We start from the raw sequence: 17371 nt of genomic DNA on the forward strand, positions 1-17371 counted from the left end.
AAGGTCTAGCAATGAGAAGGTGAATCATAAATGAGATGTTAAGTAAAAACATAACCGCTTTCTTTGTATGACTTGTTCCTGTTCCTGTGTTCCAAGTCCATGTAGAAATGCTGGTGGAGGTGCCAAGAACAATATATTAACAAAAAGTTTTTTCTCATTGTCTATACCCCACTGATTGATATAAGGGATTGATTTATTGTGAAGGTTTATTATGAATGGTTTACAGTGAATGGTGATTTGTTTATTTATCATGGTAATTTATTGTGAATGGTGATTTTTTTCTTTTTTAAGTTTTTCTAGAAACTCTACTTTTATTGTCAGAGAATGCCCATGGTAAAGTTGACAATCTTAGGTTACTGTAGTTATATCATGGGAAAGAGCCTTGATCTAGTTCTGCTGCTAAATAGCTTTGTGGCCATATCCATAAGTCAACATCTGCATCTCAGCTTCTTTTTTTTTCTTTCCTAATGTTATTGGAATGAGAAAGTTGGACAAAGATTTGTATCTTTTCTAGTGCTAACATTTTTTGATTTTGTAATAAAATTGTCAAGAAATATGCTTTGACTTGTTTCTGTTCTGTAGGTAGTGCTGCATGAATATTTAAAACCAATAAATGATTGAATACCAGTGGAACAGGATGTACTGCAAGGTGTACATGCCTGTAAATACTGTGTAGGCGGTGGTTAGTGGGAAGCATTTCCATGTAGGAAGGCTATTCAGAAAGGTGGGACATTAATCACTTCCAGAATGATAGCAGTTACTAAATTTCTTCAAAAGTTGTATCATGGTTCTTTTACTATATTTGGAATTAATGTGAGACCATTATACACTTAAATGTATTGTGATGGATTTAGCTCCAAGTAAGGGATAAGCAAAGCAATATTACTGTGGCTAAACTTGAAAGGAATAATTCTAACATTATTTCCTCAGCGTTGCAACTTGCAAAAAGATCTTGATTCATGAAAACCCCTGTCACCCAAACACTTGGTTAAGTTTTATCAAAAAATGAACCAGCAGGGGACAAAATACAGAGTTTCAAGACATTTTATTAGACATCTCGGTATGTGAAAAAATAATTCTTCCAGGTGCTATGCCTTTATTGAGTTAATTAGCTAAAAACATAAACATTAAACATAAAAATTTAAAAAAATACCACGTAAAAATTTCTTAAGAAAGTTTCATGGAAATTTGAATCTAAATTATTAGCATAGTTGCTACTAAAAATTATTAATAATTATATTACCATAATTATTAATTATATTAGTATTTATAATTATATTAGTATAATTATTAATTTTATTAGTGTTAATATAACTATTATAATAGTATTAATGATTATAATATGATTGTTAATTATAATAGTATTAATATAATTATAATAATTATATAATTAATCATACAAGACTTCAAAAATTGACTGTTAAAGACAGGATTTTAACTATATAGGGCCTGTGGAAAATTTGAAATCAATTACAGTAACCTACATGATTTTAAATATTTCATTAGATTTCCATAGCGTAACAGTAATTAACAGTAAAACTTTCCCATTAAATAGCCTTACATTTTTCATAGTCATGCTTATATAGTAAAATAAATAATTATCTGAAACCTCATAGGGAAATGCATAAGCTTCCTATAATTAAATACTTGAGTTTGTTTTAGATTGCTGTTTTTGGATAACATGCAGCCTGTCCCCAGAATATTGTTTGTTTTTTCTTAAAAACTCCTAATTTACAAACCCAATAGGTGGCCACTTTTAAGAAAAGGAAGTATTAGTTTCATACAGGAAATCCCTTACTAATTACTTAATTAGGTTCACAATATTTGCCAATGTGGCACTAAAATGAAATCTGTTAAGGTAGCCCAGTGCAGTCTAAGTGTGGAGACTATAACTGGATGTTCCACGTTATAATTTGCCTTGTTTGTAGTTGCTGTTAGGAAATGTTGCCTCATTTCTACTGCAAAGTGTAGAAGATTCGGCTACTTTCAAAATTATTACACAATTGATCTCTAGTCGTAAGTGATTCCTACTTGTTTCATCTTACTTTCTAAATGGTTTTGCAGTTACGTTAAAGGGCAGGTAATTGTGCTGGTGCTTTTTGTGTTAATATTGCAGCCTTAACTGGAATGTTAGTTCAGTGAACAAATACTTAATAAGTGCCTTCAATTTAACCAGGTTTTGTGATAGTTGCTAGTGATACAAGGCTGTTGATAAATATGGTCTGTTTTTCAAGGCTCCCCCAACACACAATCATTTTTAAAACTCTTTTTAGATGTGTAACGTTTAAATTTTAAACCTCAAATTTTAGACGTTGTCCATTAGGGTGCAAGACAGATTCTTTCAGCATAGTGTGTGGATGTGGATGTGAATGCTTAGGTGGTATTTGCCAGTATCTGTCCTGCCATTATCAGTTGAGTGAGAAATGTTTCCTTTTTCTTGTTGTTTTTAAAAGAAGTATATTTTAAAAGCAAGAGTGAGTAATAATACAATTTTGAAAGGATTGTTTGTTTACCTGTTCATGAAAATTTCCTCTGACCCCTTTCCTTCCTCCTGATTATCTTATTGCATCTGGTAAGACAAAGCACCTGTTCTGGGATTTGTTTTTAGTTTCTTAAATTATTGCCCAGTGCTAATTTGCATTGCTGGAAAAAAAGGCTGATTGCACATTTTGTGTTCTCTGATGAACCTTACTAGAGCAATAATTCATTAGTAAATTTTAAAAGACTATTCTAAGAATACAACCTGGGTTGCTTTCTTAAATTCAGTAATGTACATGATGTGCAATGTTGTGGATGTTCACAGGTTCTAATTTTTGAATGTGTGACTGCCCGTTAGGAGATACAAAACAATTATATCTTTCCTTTTAACATCTTCATGTATGTGCTCTTACAGGAATACAAATCTCTGCATTTTTGCCTGCAATACTGCTGGAACCTTCTATTTGTCATTTAAACTAATTATCATAATGAATTGAGGATAAATTGAGAGGATCACACATCTTGAACTTCAGCTAGAACAGAGTACAAAGAGGAGGGGAGGATTTGGAAAGCTTAAACAATTTGAATGACCTTTATCATACCCACTGTTTTAGCATCAGAGGCATGAGGCAGAATGTGTGCATTTATTGATTGATTGGTCCTTTTTGTGCTTAGCATATAAAGTAAGCACCAACCTGTAAAGTGAGTTATGATTATTCCCATTCTTCAGAGCAGGAATCTAAGGCTCTGAAGGAGTTAGTGTCTTGACCAACCATACATTCAGTATACAGTGGAGCTGGGTTATTCTTTCCCATTTGACTCCTGTGTGTTCTTCTAATACGTATAGCAACCTACCCACTTTAGATGCCTGAAAGAGAAGTATATTTGGGTAATTATGGCAAGAATGATAACAATAAAATGTCATGAGTCTTACAGGAAGAATCTGCTTGTGCTGGGGAGGGAAGTGGGTGGAAGTGGATCAGGAAAGCCTTTATAAAGTAGGCAGAATTTGGCCTGGGTTTTTGTATAAGGATTCAGAGAGAAGGAAAAGGGTAAGAGTAGAAGTGGGAAACTGAAATCAATTTCAGGAACCAGATAGTTTGTTTCACCTGGAGCCTAGGTTATACATAGAAGAGTAACAGAAAATGATGATACAAAGGTAAATAAGGCAAAAACCACGAGAGACCAGACTTAAAAGTTTGGAGGTTCAGCTGTATGCCAATAAAACAGCTATGGAATTAAATGTAATAAAATGCAACTTGAAGGTGAACTATAATGGCCCTTTGAAAGTGTTGGTATCTATTTTTGTCAATACTCTGGGAAAGGTTTTCACTGCCACAAAACTCCATGGGTTTTTTATTGACTAGTTCTTTCATATTTCTTCAAGACAAAATGAATCTATTTTTGATTATTTATTTTCAGCTGGGATAATTTTTGTAAAGACCATTCATTCCCTTATTTTGGGTTCATCAGATATGGACTCTTTTCCAAAGAAAATACTCTCTCATTTACTCTTCTGTTATAATCTGGAGAACTTTTCTTAACTGTTATGCATCATGCTTAACAAATAGTATAATTTGTATTCTTGCAAGCATGCTATATAGCACTTTGCCTACTATTAGAGTAGCACCTCATTTATCCAGCATTCTGAGAAACAGCTGCTATACCTAAGTGATTTCCACATAGATGAAACTTTACTCTTCTTTTAAAAACTTTTATTTTATATATTTATCCTAGAAATTTCATTAAAATTTTGTTTACATACTTTCTCAAAGCATTCAGAACATCTTTTGACTGTTTTTTGAAACCTTTAACACACTATTTCCACAGGAATCACTTTATGATCTGTGACTTTGTGAGACTTTTGTGAATAATGTTTTGTCTATATAGTAATTCTCAACTATTTTATTCCTTGAATTTCCTCTCTGCTTTTCCATAGTTGTTTTGTTTTTTGTTTTGTTTTGTTTTTTTTGCAGGGGTTGGGGGTTCCACCCTCAGCTAGCACTTGCCATTTCTCTCCTCCGTCAGCCCCTTTTGGCTACTTCTAATCAAATGGCTTACACTTTTTGAGTATGGTTTAATTAGGGGCCCCACCACATTTGTGGAATATAGATAGTAAACCTAAAGATGTGTGGTTTGTGTTTCACAACATTCCTTGCTTCTGAGACCTTTTCCATTCCTGTGTTCCAGATATTAGAACTTTCTTACTGTGTTTAAAGAAATATTCAGATGTTTGCTTTTGGAATGATAATAACTTTGTGAATATTGCTGTATCATGTCCAGGTTCTTTTATAAACATTTAAATGTTTATAAACTCATTTTATTAAGTTAAATTATTAAATTCTAACTCATTTAACCTCCCTTCTCATACTGTTTTGAATTGCCACATCTGTAAAATGGCAATTAAGATGCCTGCCCTCACAGAGTTTATGTAAGATACAAATAAGGAAATATATGTACAAGCATTACATAAAGTTTAAAACTCTATACAAATGTTGGTTTTAGGGTTATTTCTGATAAGCAGCTTTATGTTGGTTTCTGTTTCATACTTCTCTATCTAAATGATTATTATTTTTATTATGAACTGTTAATACATTGAAGGGCTACTAAAATGCAAAATCAGTCTTTGAAACACAAAAATGAACAAAACTAAAAATATCATTTGCCCAATTTGGCCAATACTGTCCAGTGTTATTAATAGCCTCTAGCAACATAGATGTTAATTAAGTGAACTATTTGATTTTGAAATATTAGTCCATTTGCCAATTGTTAAGTAAACACTTGTATTTAAATATTCAAATAAATTTATAAAGACTATAAAAACTCCATAACTAGGGAATAATAAATTGAGAATTTAAACTGCGTCTCTCAAAACTCATTTTGGTATTTGGTTTCAGATGTTAATTTTTAGATTGACAGATCTTAGTAGACAGATCACTGTCCACCTTTTTAAAAGTAGTAAAATTATATTTTTAAATAAATTCTGAAATTTCAGCTTTTAAAATTAGTGCACACTGATTAAACTGACTCTTCTGGTAATTACTCAAATTAAAGAGTAAAATTATACTTGTAAAAAAACTACTATTGCCATAATAATTTTCGCCCTTATAGCCAAATGAAGTAGCCAGTTTCCTTGCTTTCAAATTTTCATTTATGACATTTCCACAACACAACAAGCAAATAATTTCCTGGTCACATATTCAAACCACTTTTTCAAGTGTATAATTTCTGTTGGAGTGGCTTTATTATGAAAGTTTTGCAGGTTTAATGTAGAACTTAAAATATTGTTCAGTCAAACCATAAATTTAATTCAATTTTCTGTCAGTGAAATAGTCTAATTTTTTTTCTGTTAAAAACAGCTAGCAAGAATAATTCAGATCAGATAATGCATTGAGTTATATTATCCTAACGATAATTTTTAAATTTTTATGAAGGAAAGGTCCTCAAACTAAGGAAGTAACAGATTAGTACCACTTATCAGATAATTCCTTCTCTTCTTCCACCCTTGTATAATGTAATTTCTGCTCGTGGATGGGAAGAGAAACAGCTGTCTCAGAATTTATTATGCTAGATATTCACTTAGCCCTCTATTGCATATATGATTATACAGTAAAACATTTGTTATATCTCTTTCTAAAAAATCCAATAATTTTCTAGTTTAATCTCTTTTTCACAATTTTGGTAGATGATACTTCATATATTTGCACCAGAGTCGTCTATCTTTATTAATTATACAGACATTCTCTGGGTCCCTCCTGACTGAATCTCACTAGGGTTGCCACTTCTCTTTCACCCTATTGAAAAGATCTAGACTGTAATAATAACTGGAAATACTAGTGGACTTTTAGATAGCACCTCCTCCCAGTTAAAAACAGGCAAACGGAGAACAGTTGGTAAGTCTATCTTTTATTAAAATTAAAGTGCTTTTGTTCATCAAATTTGCATTTTTTTGTAAATGATCTGGAAAAGTAATGTTGAGACTCCATTTTTATTTTATTTTTTTAATTTTTTTTATTATACTTTAAGTTCTAGTGTACATGTGCACAATGTGCAGGTTTGTTACATATGTATACATGTGTCATGTTGGTGTGCTGCACCCATTAACTTGTCATTTACATTAGGTATATCTCCTAATGCTATCCCTCCTGCCTCTCCCCACCCCACAACAGGCCCCGGTGTGTGATGTTCCCCTTCCTGTTTCCAAGTGTTCTCATTGTTCAATTCTCACCTATGAGTGAGAACATGAGGTATTTGTTTTTTTGTCCTTGTGATAGTTTGCTGAGAATGATGGTTTCCAGCTTCATCCATGTCCCTACAAAGGACATGAACTCATCCTTTTTTATGGCTGCATAGTATTCCATGGTGTATATGTGCCACATTTTCTTAATCCAGACTATCATTGTTGGACATTTGGGTTGGTTCCAAGTCTTTGCTATTGTGAGTATTGCCGCAATAAACATATGTGTGCATGTGTCTTTATAGCAGCACGATTTATATTCCTTTGGGTATATACCCAGTAATGGGATGGCTGGGTCAAATGGTATTTCCAGTTCTAGATCCTTGAGGAATCGCCACACTGTCTTCCACAATGGATGAACTAGTTTACAGTCCCACCAACAGTGTAAAAGTGTTCCTATTTCTCCATATCCTATCCAGCACCTGTTGTTTCCTGACTTTTTAATGATTGCCATTGTAACTGGTGTGAGATGGTATCTCATTGTGGTTTTGATTTGCATTTCTCTGATGGCCAGTGATGGTGAGCATTTTTTCATGTGTCTGTTGGCTGCATAAATGTCTTCTTTTGAGAAGTGTCTGTTCATATCCTTTGCCCACTTTTTGATGGGGTTGTTTTTTTCTTGTAAATTTGTTTGAGTTCATTGTAGATTCTGGATATGAGCCCTTTGTCAGATGAGTAGATTGCAAAAATTTTCTCCCATTCTGTAGGTTGCCTGTTCACTCTGATGGTAGTTTCTTTTGCTGTGCAGAAGCTCTTTAGTTTAATTAGATCCCATTTGTCAATTTTGTCTTTTGTTGCCATTGCTTTTGGTGTTTTAGACATGAAGTCCTTGCCCATGCCTATGTCCTGAATGCTATTGCCTAGGTTTTCTTCTAGGGTTTTTATGGTTTCAGTTCTAACATGTAAGTCTTTAATCCATCTTGAATTGATTTTTGTATAAGGTGTAAGGAAGGGATCCAGTTTCAGCTTTCTACATATGGCTAGCCAGTTTTCCCAGCACCATTTGTTAAATAGGGAATCCTTTCCCCATTTCTTGTTTTTCTCAGGTTTGTCAAAGATCAGATAGTTGTAGATGTGTGGTATTATTTCTGAGGGCTCTGTTCTGTTCCATTGGTCTATATCTCTGTTTTGGTACCAGTACCATGCTGTTTTGGTTACTGTAGCCTTGTAGTATAGTTTGAAGTCAGGTAGCGTGATGCCTCCAGCTTTGTTCTTTTTGCTTAGGATTGACTTGGCAATGCGGGTTCCTTTTTGGTGCCATATGAACTTTAAAGTAGTTTTTTCCAATTCTGTGAAGAAAGGCATTGGTAGCTTGATAGGGATCGCATTGAATCTGTAAATTACCTTGGGCAGTATGGCCATTTTCACGATATTGATTATTCCTACCCATGAGCATGGAATGTTCTTCCATTTGTTTGTATCCTCTTTTATTTCACTGAGCAGTGATTTGTAGTTCTCCTTGAAGAGGTCCTTCACATCCCTTGTAAGTTGGATTGCTAGGTATTTTATTCTCTTTGAAGCAGTTGTGAAGGGGAGTTCACTCATGATTTGGCTCTCTGTTTGTCTGTTATTGGTGTATAAGAATGCTTGTAATTTTTGCACATTGATTTTGTATCCTGAGACTTTGCTGAAGTTGCTTATCAGCTTAAGGAGATTTTGGGCTGAGACAATGGGGTTTTCTAGATATACAATCATGTCATCTGCAAATAGGGACAATTTGACTTCCTCTTTTCCTAATTGAATACCCTTTATTTCTTTCTCCTGCCTGATTGCCCTGGCCAGAACTTCCAACACTATGTTGAATAGGAATGGTGAGAGAGGGCATCCCTGTCTTGTGCCAGTTTTCAAAGGGAATGCTTCCAGTTTTTTGTAAATGATCTGGAAAAGTAATGTTGAGGCTCCATTTTTAAAAGATTGACAGAATATTGTCTTTTGTCACATAAAAATGCCCTTGTCAAATATTAAGTAGACAAAATACTGTGACAAAGGGTATTTGATGCCAATGCTAAATAACAGTAAAATCAGTAGCAGGATTTCTAATGTATTATTCTTGCTACGGAAACATGGTAGTGGATAGGGCCTGAGGGAAGGGATCCAGCATTTACCAAGCACCACATGTAAGTCAGGAACTATGTGTCTACTGCAAAGTAGGATTCCCTTACCTCATCTAATTGGTTGGAAATTTGCAGAAATAAATTGGAAGCCATGAGGTGAATTTTCATTTAATGGGAGAATTTTGAAAATCAGTATTTTTAACAAAAATGTTGTTATCTGAGAGAGTCTTCCATTGAAATCTTAGGAGCAATAGCTTTTCTGATGTTTTCGGAGGATAAGTGAGCTTCTCCTCCCACCATCAGTATGAACAGTCTGGCCTTGGATATCTGGGGCCTGTCTCTTAGGCCTTTTCAGTCCTGTAATGAGGGATTTTGCCTACATGATTGAACGGCATGCTAATAAGTTCACTCAGCTGTTCGCTTCAGAGGAGTATACAGAGTCTTCCCCCATTTGTCCCTTACCCAGCCTTCTCCTAATAATCTCATCACAACAAATGATTAAGCCTTTCTACTATTGTCTTTTAGCTAAATCAGAGCGAGTGATTGATGAAGTGCCAACTTCCGAGAACAGATAGACATCCTCATACCCTGAGGCTCTTCCCACCTCCACCCTCCCTTGATGCTCATATACTGCTTGTGTTAACTTGTGTTTTTACATGAATTGATGGCATCTCTATCTAAACTTTAAACTCCTTAAGGACAAAGACTGTGTGTTATTCTGTTCTCTATCTCTCACGTTCTTAACTCTTCCACTCAATTTATACTTGATGGAACTAATGAACGTGGTTTTGAACATCTACATTGAGTTTAAGAATCTGCAAGAATAATATTGTGATACAGTTACAGAGTGTTGACCCTCATAGTAAATTCTGTTATTGTTTTCCATAAAACCCCACGTATTCCCGGCCTTTCTCTTGCTCTCTGTTACTCCACTCATATAGGTAGTTAGCCCTTTTGCAGATCCATTGTGAAAGCATTTTTCCTGCCCGAGCCAGGGGAAGCCATGGTCCAGCTTTATGGACCATGTGTAAAAAGAAATAATGTATTTATGTAGTAAACTGTGGACTGTAAGCAATATGAAGACAGGGACTCTATCTAATTCATACTCTTCTCTCTCCCCAATGTCTGGCAAGTTTCTGTCATCTAGTCAGTGCTCACAGAATATTTGAGATGTGGATAGGTGAGTGGAATACATGCAAGAGAAATTAGGATGTGGTGATTATAACTGCTCTATGTGATTTTCAGCACCAGCTCCCCATTGTAAATTAGTTTAAGCTGGACTCTATTGGTATGATTGGTGCTTTAAAATTGGTTGATGCTGGCAATCATTCTGGTGACACCTGTCTAGCATTTTTCACAATTATGACTTTCTTCTTAAAAATTTTAAACTACCCCCCCCAAAAAAAATAGATAATTTTATTTCTCATGACAAATATGTTAATCAATTTGTTTGAAAGTCTTTTGACACTTTATAAAGTGGTGACCTTTGTTCAAGTGACTGTTCATCTGACAAACCCGGCCCGTGTGCTTTTACTGGGACACGATAATGATGCATGTGTCTGCTACTTCCATTTTCACCTCACCCTACCATTTGTCACTTTCCACTTCCAGACAGCAGGCAAAGCTATTTGTCTGCCTCAGCTTAATATGTAAATCCCTCATGCACATGAATGCACTGTGGTAGTGTGTCTCTTGTATCACAGTTGATACCTCCTAACACGTTCTGCTTTTTGATGGTGAATTCTAGTTTGGCCTTGTGTCCAACTTTAATTATTTTTGTAAGAAAAATGGGACTGTATTCTACAGTTTTTTATGCTTACCTTCCTTCTACATGTATCCATGTATCAATAGGCATATATATCTTACAGGTAAAAAAATGGATTATTCAGAAACTTTGAGTTAAGATAATGTGAAATAATTCTACACCATTGTCAATTAACATTGCATAATTATCTATATTACAGTTTTCATTTATATGATTTAAAGGGAAATGATAGAAAAAAAGTATATCCTTGGTATAAGGAAAGTATATAGCAAGGATAAAGGACCTTTTTCAAACTATTGGGTAAAATTAAAAGCTGTTTGGAAGTTATAGTTAGTTCATGTCACACATTAAGTTACCATTTTAAAAGGCAAGCTTATGGGATTGAATGAATATTAATTTAATAAAATGTCTAGCAATAATAAAAATTGAAGAATATGTGGAAAATACATTCTTAACAGATAACTTTTGGAAATATGTAACGAATAGCAATAAATGTATTTTGTTTCACGTTATTGTCATGCAAGAGATAAGAGGTAGCAGAATTGAGAGAAACGGTAACAGGAGCAAGCCACAGAAAAATGAAGGAGAAAGATGTTGTCAGTGAAGGTTGAAACCTCCAAGTAAGACAAAATTTGTGATGGATTATTGCAACATCACATATCAGTGCTCTTAGAGCTTATTTATCCATTCAGTTATGTATGCTCATTACAGACCCCTGGCATGGTGGCAAGTGTGGTTACACTTTATAAGTAGAGGAATTGAGGCTGAGAAAGGTTTAACAACTTGCTTAATGTCTACAGCTAGCTAAAGATATGAGTGATGTGCTATGCACCACTGCTTCCAATAACCCTAGGCACTGGTGGTATTATTCTCAGTTTATGGAATCTAAGGTTGAGGCCCAGAGAAGCTACCTTCTCTTGGTTACTGTAGCCCTAAGTGGAAGTTTGAGGGTTTGAACCTGCTTCTGTCTCCAGAGCCCTAGGCTCATTCCATTATAAACAACTCCCTTTCCCCACCGAGGTCAGAAAGCTTTTTGGATACTATTTTTTAAAGTTGAGGATTAAATAACACAAAGTATACAGCTTCTGAATCCTTATCCCACAAATGGATTAGATAACTCCATGTCCTATCTCTAGAACCCTATGCTGAGATTGTCATTCTTCTACAAGGAGAGCCACAGAAGTCACTGAAATTGTTTTTCTCACTTGGTATCTAAATAGGGGAATGGGGTGACAGCCTTTAGAACTTTTTCAATCTATTTGTTAATTAAAATCTGCTGTCTGTCGTTTTATTTATAGTATAAGGATGCATTTATGAAAGCAAATCCTGGCTACAAATGGTGTCCTACCACAAACAAGCCTGTGAAATCCCCAACACCCACTGTCAATCCACGAAAGAAACTTTGGGCCTTCCCATCTGACTCTTCAAGAGACTTGCCAAGCCCCAAGAAAGCAAAGACTGAAGAAATGCCTCAGCTTAACTTTGGAATGGCTGGTGAGTTGAGACACTATTTCCACCTATTCTTTAAGGACAGGGCAATACATTTCGGCAGCATTTTAAACAATACTGAGGGCGGGGGGACAAAATTTATAACCAATATTAAGCAGTGGCAAAGATATAGCATATTTTCAAGCATTGGATCATGATATATATAGAATACAGGTAATTTAAAAAAGGATATATGGCCTCAGTGGTAGTGTCATTATAAATATATGTGAATTCCTGACATTGACAGTATGGAAAAGTAGACAGCAACATGGAGATTGTCAGAAGCTTAGGAAATTTTATGTTCACAAAATAGCTTACACACACACATACACACTAGTAAGCCATCCCAGGATGCACCTTAGTTATCATGCTACTTAAACAGCTACAGTCATGTAGATCATCTGGGTGTTGGAAACATTGAGGGCAAGAATATGAACAAGTACATCACAAATCTGAGATTGGACCTGATAGCTGTGTCTTAGAGAGAATTCCCATCCTGTCTGTCTCCTCTCATGTCCATTCTTGTATGGGACAGACAAATTTAAAATTCCAGATGGTGCCATTTGTTATGGGACCTTTAGTACTCTTTGGGTGGTAAGGTATGCTAAATCATTTATTACCATGAAATAAAGTACTTATATTCACCCTACAAGTGGGCTCTGTCTTTCTTAGCTATTACAGTGCAGTAATCAAAAGATGAGTTTGCCAGATGAAATTAGCAGATTGAGCAGGAGAAAGGCAGTGAAGTTGCAATTGAGCTACAGGGTTCCTATTTTGGTATTAGAAGCAAATTTTCTTCCAAAGCAGAGTATTGAACTATTTGCATATGGAAAGGTTGGGAAAAGAGGTTGAGTGATACTGTGATAACACTTTTTTTTTGAATAACCAATAAATTTAACGAGACTTTATGATTCAGTGTGTGATTCATACCATGTAAAGTATGTGGCAGTATTCTATATAATCTACAAAAAATATTATTTTAATCAGTCCTGTATGGTGGCATGTGCCTATAGTCCTGGCTACTTGGGAGGCTGAGATGGGAGGATCACTTGAGTCCAGGAGTTCGAGGCTGCAGTGAGCTGTGACCTCACGACTGCACTCCATCCTGGGCGACAGAGCAACACCCTGCCTCTAAAAAATGAAGTCTAACATAATGGCAGCATTCTAGGGCGGAAAAAAGGATTCAGGTGATTGCTATGTGGGTGTCTGTAGTGTAATTCTAAGTAAGCTCCCAAAATGATGCTTCTACATGTCCCAGAAGAATCAGACATAGTTATTTGTCCTTGCTTTAGCTGTCAATTTTGTACAATTTTAGCTTCAAATCATTTGTTATTAGATAGTCTTGGTGAGTTTTCTGGACTTCCCAGGTTATATCAGTTGGAGTACTTTCTAACATATCTTATTATCAGAACCCAGAAAGAGTATATAGATAACTGACTTCCAGCTGATTTTCTTTGGTCATCATGTAACATCCATTGCTTTTTCTCCCAATTCTCAGTCTAGATCCAGGGTATGTAGTTTGTTGTTGTTGTTGTTGGCTTTTTTTTTTTTTGCATACATCTGCTCTTCACAAACCATATAACAATTGTAGGTGAACTGCAGAAAGCTATGAAAGATATCTTTTTTGAAGCACCGTTTCTGACACTTTATTAATCTGCCTTTTACCTGCAAATTGAAAGTCGAACCCACACTTCAAACAAGATCTTTACAGATCGGTATTTAAGATCAGTGTTCTCAAAAGAAAGTACAGGAAAGAAGGAAAACACCTTCCTTGCATTTATCTCATTATGTAATGGCTTGGGTTATATGTTGCAAATCCATGTTCAGAACTCTTGATAGGCTTGCATATAGTGGATAACATTGATCTGATATTTCCAGGTATGTTCCTTTTCAACAAGATGAAAGCGAACTAATTTGTCTTTAATTAAATCCTGGTGCCTAGACATCTGAATCTAGGAGATAATAGAGGGCCTCTAAATGCCAGATTGTTTACCTCAATATGGAATCTCTTTTGTTTTGCTTGCCCAGTAGTCCTTGTCACATGACATTTTGCAATTTTGAATAACCCCAAATTACCAAATGTATGATATCCAAGAAGGGAAAGCTGTGTAGATTGTAATTTAGTGCAAGCCCTTTCATTTAATTGCACTAAAGAAAGCATCCTATGTATGTCAATATGTTTTTGATAGTTCTAAATAACTTTATGTAAGTATGAATTAATATAAAGGATATTGGTAATTTCTTGGCCTATGTTTTAGTATCTATACAGCAAACTTCTTGCAAAGTCACATTGGTATATAAATTATCACGTAATCATGTTCCTATTTTACTTTGTAATTTGAACTAACACATTTTTATCTTTAGAAAGCTATCATCCAATCCTCCTGATCTCTAGGATGACAGCTGCAAAAGTATTTCTCTTTGAAAGAACCAAACTAAACTTTTACTTTCTACTAAATTCATTTCCCTCTCTTGATTTTTAAGTAGATTTAAGTATCTATTTCAACAGCCATAGTATTTCTTAAACTTAGCATTTAGTTGAAGTTGGAGTCTCAAAACAATACCAAAGAGCTTTGTTTCATCAAATTAGCTACTGTTTGTCTGTGTATTCTCTGTGTATGTCTTCCTATGTGGCTGCCTTCCAATGTTGAGCTATTTTTTGACCCCCTGATCTTTTGGTAACATAGTTTTTCCTCTAATAACCTCTTCCCCCAACCCCTGCCCCTTTTTTTTACTACCTCAGAACTTTTTTTGCAATTTTTTTTTTAAAACTGTCGATAACATATAGTCAAAGTTGCTTTATGAGTTCCTAAGACAGGTTGTATACAAAGATGTACTTAAGGACATATCTTCAACCCGAAAAAGAAAAGAAACAACTGAATTTCTTTGTGCAACATTTTGACTGATCCTCATTTTCAATTGTAGATTCCTGAAATTAAATATACGTTGAGGACCTTATATGTACTAGGAGAGATGCCGAGTTAGGCATTTTTACATATGTTCTTTCATTACACTTCTGAATTTTAATTCAAGATAGACTTACAGGACACAGGTGCCTTTTCTTTGATAACTTCTTTGTTTTTATTTATTTTCTATTTGTTCATTTAATTTTTTAGAGACAGGGTCCCACTCTGTCATCCAGGCCTGGGGTGCAGTGTTGCGATCTTAGCTCACTGTAGCCTCAAACTCCTGACATTAAGAGATCCTCCTGCCTTGGCCTCCCAAAGTGCTGGGATTACAGGCATGAGCCACTGTTCCCAATTCTGCTTTCTTTATTTAGATACAACCTGGGTTATAGATCTACCACTTTGCTGTTTTTATTTTCTCTGTTTATATTGATTATTGAAATAGTGAAAACAAAGACTTTGATAACATAAAAAGCATTAATTTTATACCTTGAAGGCATTTTGGGCATGTGTTTGACACATGCCCTAAGATTTAAAATGTCAAAAACACATCAGTTAATATAAATTTATTTTTAAAACTGTAAAGAAAGATTATTTGAATAAAACCTACCAGATTTTACAGGCCTGATTTGAAAACTTCTCTCTGTTCTCTAGTTCTCTGATAGCCTATTATTTTAAAACTAGTCCTGATTTCACATGGCAGAATTAATAATTTGAGAATAACAATCTAAAATTTCTCAGAAGACAAACAGAAACATTCTTTTGTTTAAAAAATCTTATCTAAACTCCCTAAGCAGTAAGGAAAGAAACATTGCATTAGGAGATAAATTAATGTTACAAACAGCAATGGTATTGAAGAAAGTGTTGTTGGAATGGTGAGACAAGAGTGGTATTCAAGAGGCTCACAAAGTATGAGCACTAAGCACATATATGCCAGGTTACTGTTGCATAAAGAGTTTTTAAAAGTTTTTATAAAAAGTTATATGTGGTTCTGTTGGATTTCTGATTGCTAGTCTTTATGAGTATTCTTTTTGACTCTGTGGATTGTATGTACTTTATGCTTATAAGTTGGTGATTTGTTTTTGACTTATTTAGATCCTACTCAAATGGGAGGCCTGAGTATGCTGCTGTTAGCTGGAGAACATGCTCTTGGCACACCAGAGGTAAGCCAGTCCTTTTCCGTCTCCACTCTGCTCATACTGTGGGTTGGGAACACAGTTATAGTCTGTTTACGTTGTTCATTCTGCATTTTCACTGTTTACAGCTCATGAACAAACTTTATAATCTTTCTCTTTAAGATCTTTCTGTGTGTCTTGTGTGTTGAGTGTAAAAAAAAAGTGGTGTAAATAAGGCCATGAGGATGTAAACACAGGTGTTGTTTTCTGAACCTACAAGTAAGGTTGTAGTAATGCAATATATAGATCACTGGTGTTTGCATGACTCTGTCATGGTTATGTCAGTTGGGTGCTGTAATTCATTTATTCGAAACATTCTCTGCTTGGGTGATGTTCACATGCTAGTGAAAAGATGATAGCTAAAAATTTGCAGCTGTCAGTCTCTCTGGTACCTGAATAATTCCAAACAGCTGTTTTGAAAATTAGGAAACATGGCATTTCAGGATTGTTTTATTCTTCTTTCCCACCCCCCCTTGAGACAGGGTCTCACTCTGTTGCCCAGGCTGGAGTGCAGTGGCATGATCACAACCTCCCAGGCTCAGGTGATTCTCTCACCTCAGCCTTTTGGGTGGCTTGGACTACAGGCATGTGCCCCCAAGCCCAGCTAATTTTTGTATTTTGTGTAGAGACAGGGTTTTGCCATGTTGCTCAGACTGGTTTCGAACTTCAGGGCTCAAGCGTCTTAGCCTCCCAAAGTTCTGGGATCACAGATGTGAGCCACTGTGCTCAGCCTGTTTGAATCTTTAAAATGGAAAAAGGACCTAGGCTTTCATGACCTTGGTTTCATGATCTAGTTATTGGACTGCTTTGGCTAAACATTTTTAGGTATGATTTTGACGGGCAGGTAGTGGCAGTTAACCATGCACAGTCTGCATTTGTAGAATTCCCCTATTTCCCAGAGACATTTAACAGAGGCCAATTGAATTAACCTACAGGTCATGTTATTTTACCACACTCAGGTTTTTGAGATGGAAATTTTTCAATCCCCAACCAGAATTGTTGTTTAGGGCCAAATAGCAATGACTCAATTTTATTTTGGGTCATATTTTTTACTTTTTGTTTTTTAGTTGTGATTATGTCATACATATTATACTTGAAGGCTATTCAAATAGTGGTTTTGTAGACATATAATTAGATAATAACCTATTTACATTATAAAAGGTTTTTATTTTTTATAGTTTACATTTGGGATCCACAATTGTTGACTATATATTCAATTTAACAGAATTATTTTGATTCTGTTCACTTCATTGTAGCAAGAAATGTAT

General features: G+C 35.1%; 1 protein-coding gene across 29 annotated transcripts in view; it reads left to right on the forward strand.

Annotated features, from left to right (window-relative positions):
* BBX (BBX high mobility group box domain containing) overlaps positions 1-17371 on the forward strand; it is a 288378-nt gene that overhangs the window by 193971 nt on the left and 77036 nt on the right. For all 29 annotated transcript variants that reach the window (XM_024453646.2, XM_011513001.3, XM_047448599.1 and 26 more), the window contains 2 exons: positions 11833-12028; positions 16024-16091. In XM_024453646.2, the coding sequence (XP_024309414.1) occupies positions 11833-12028; positions 16024-16091 (264 nt within the window). The remainder of the gene's footprint in view (positions 1-11832; positions 12029-16023; positions 16092-17371) is intronic.

Source organism: Homo sapiens, chromosome 3 (genome assembly GCF_000001405.40).
Source record: "Homo sapiens chromosome 3, GRCh38.p14 Primary Assembly".
NCBI lineage: Eukaryota > Metazoa > Chordata > Mammalia > Primates > Hominidae > Homo > Homo sapiens.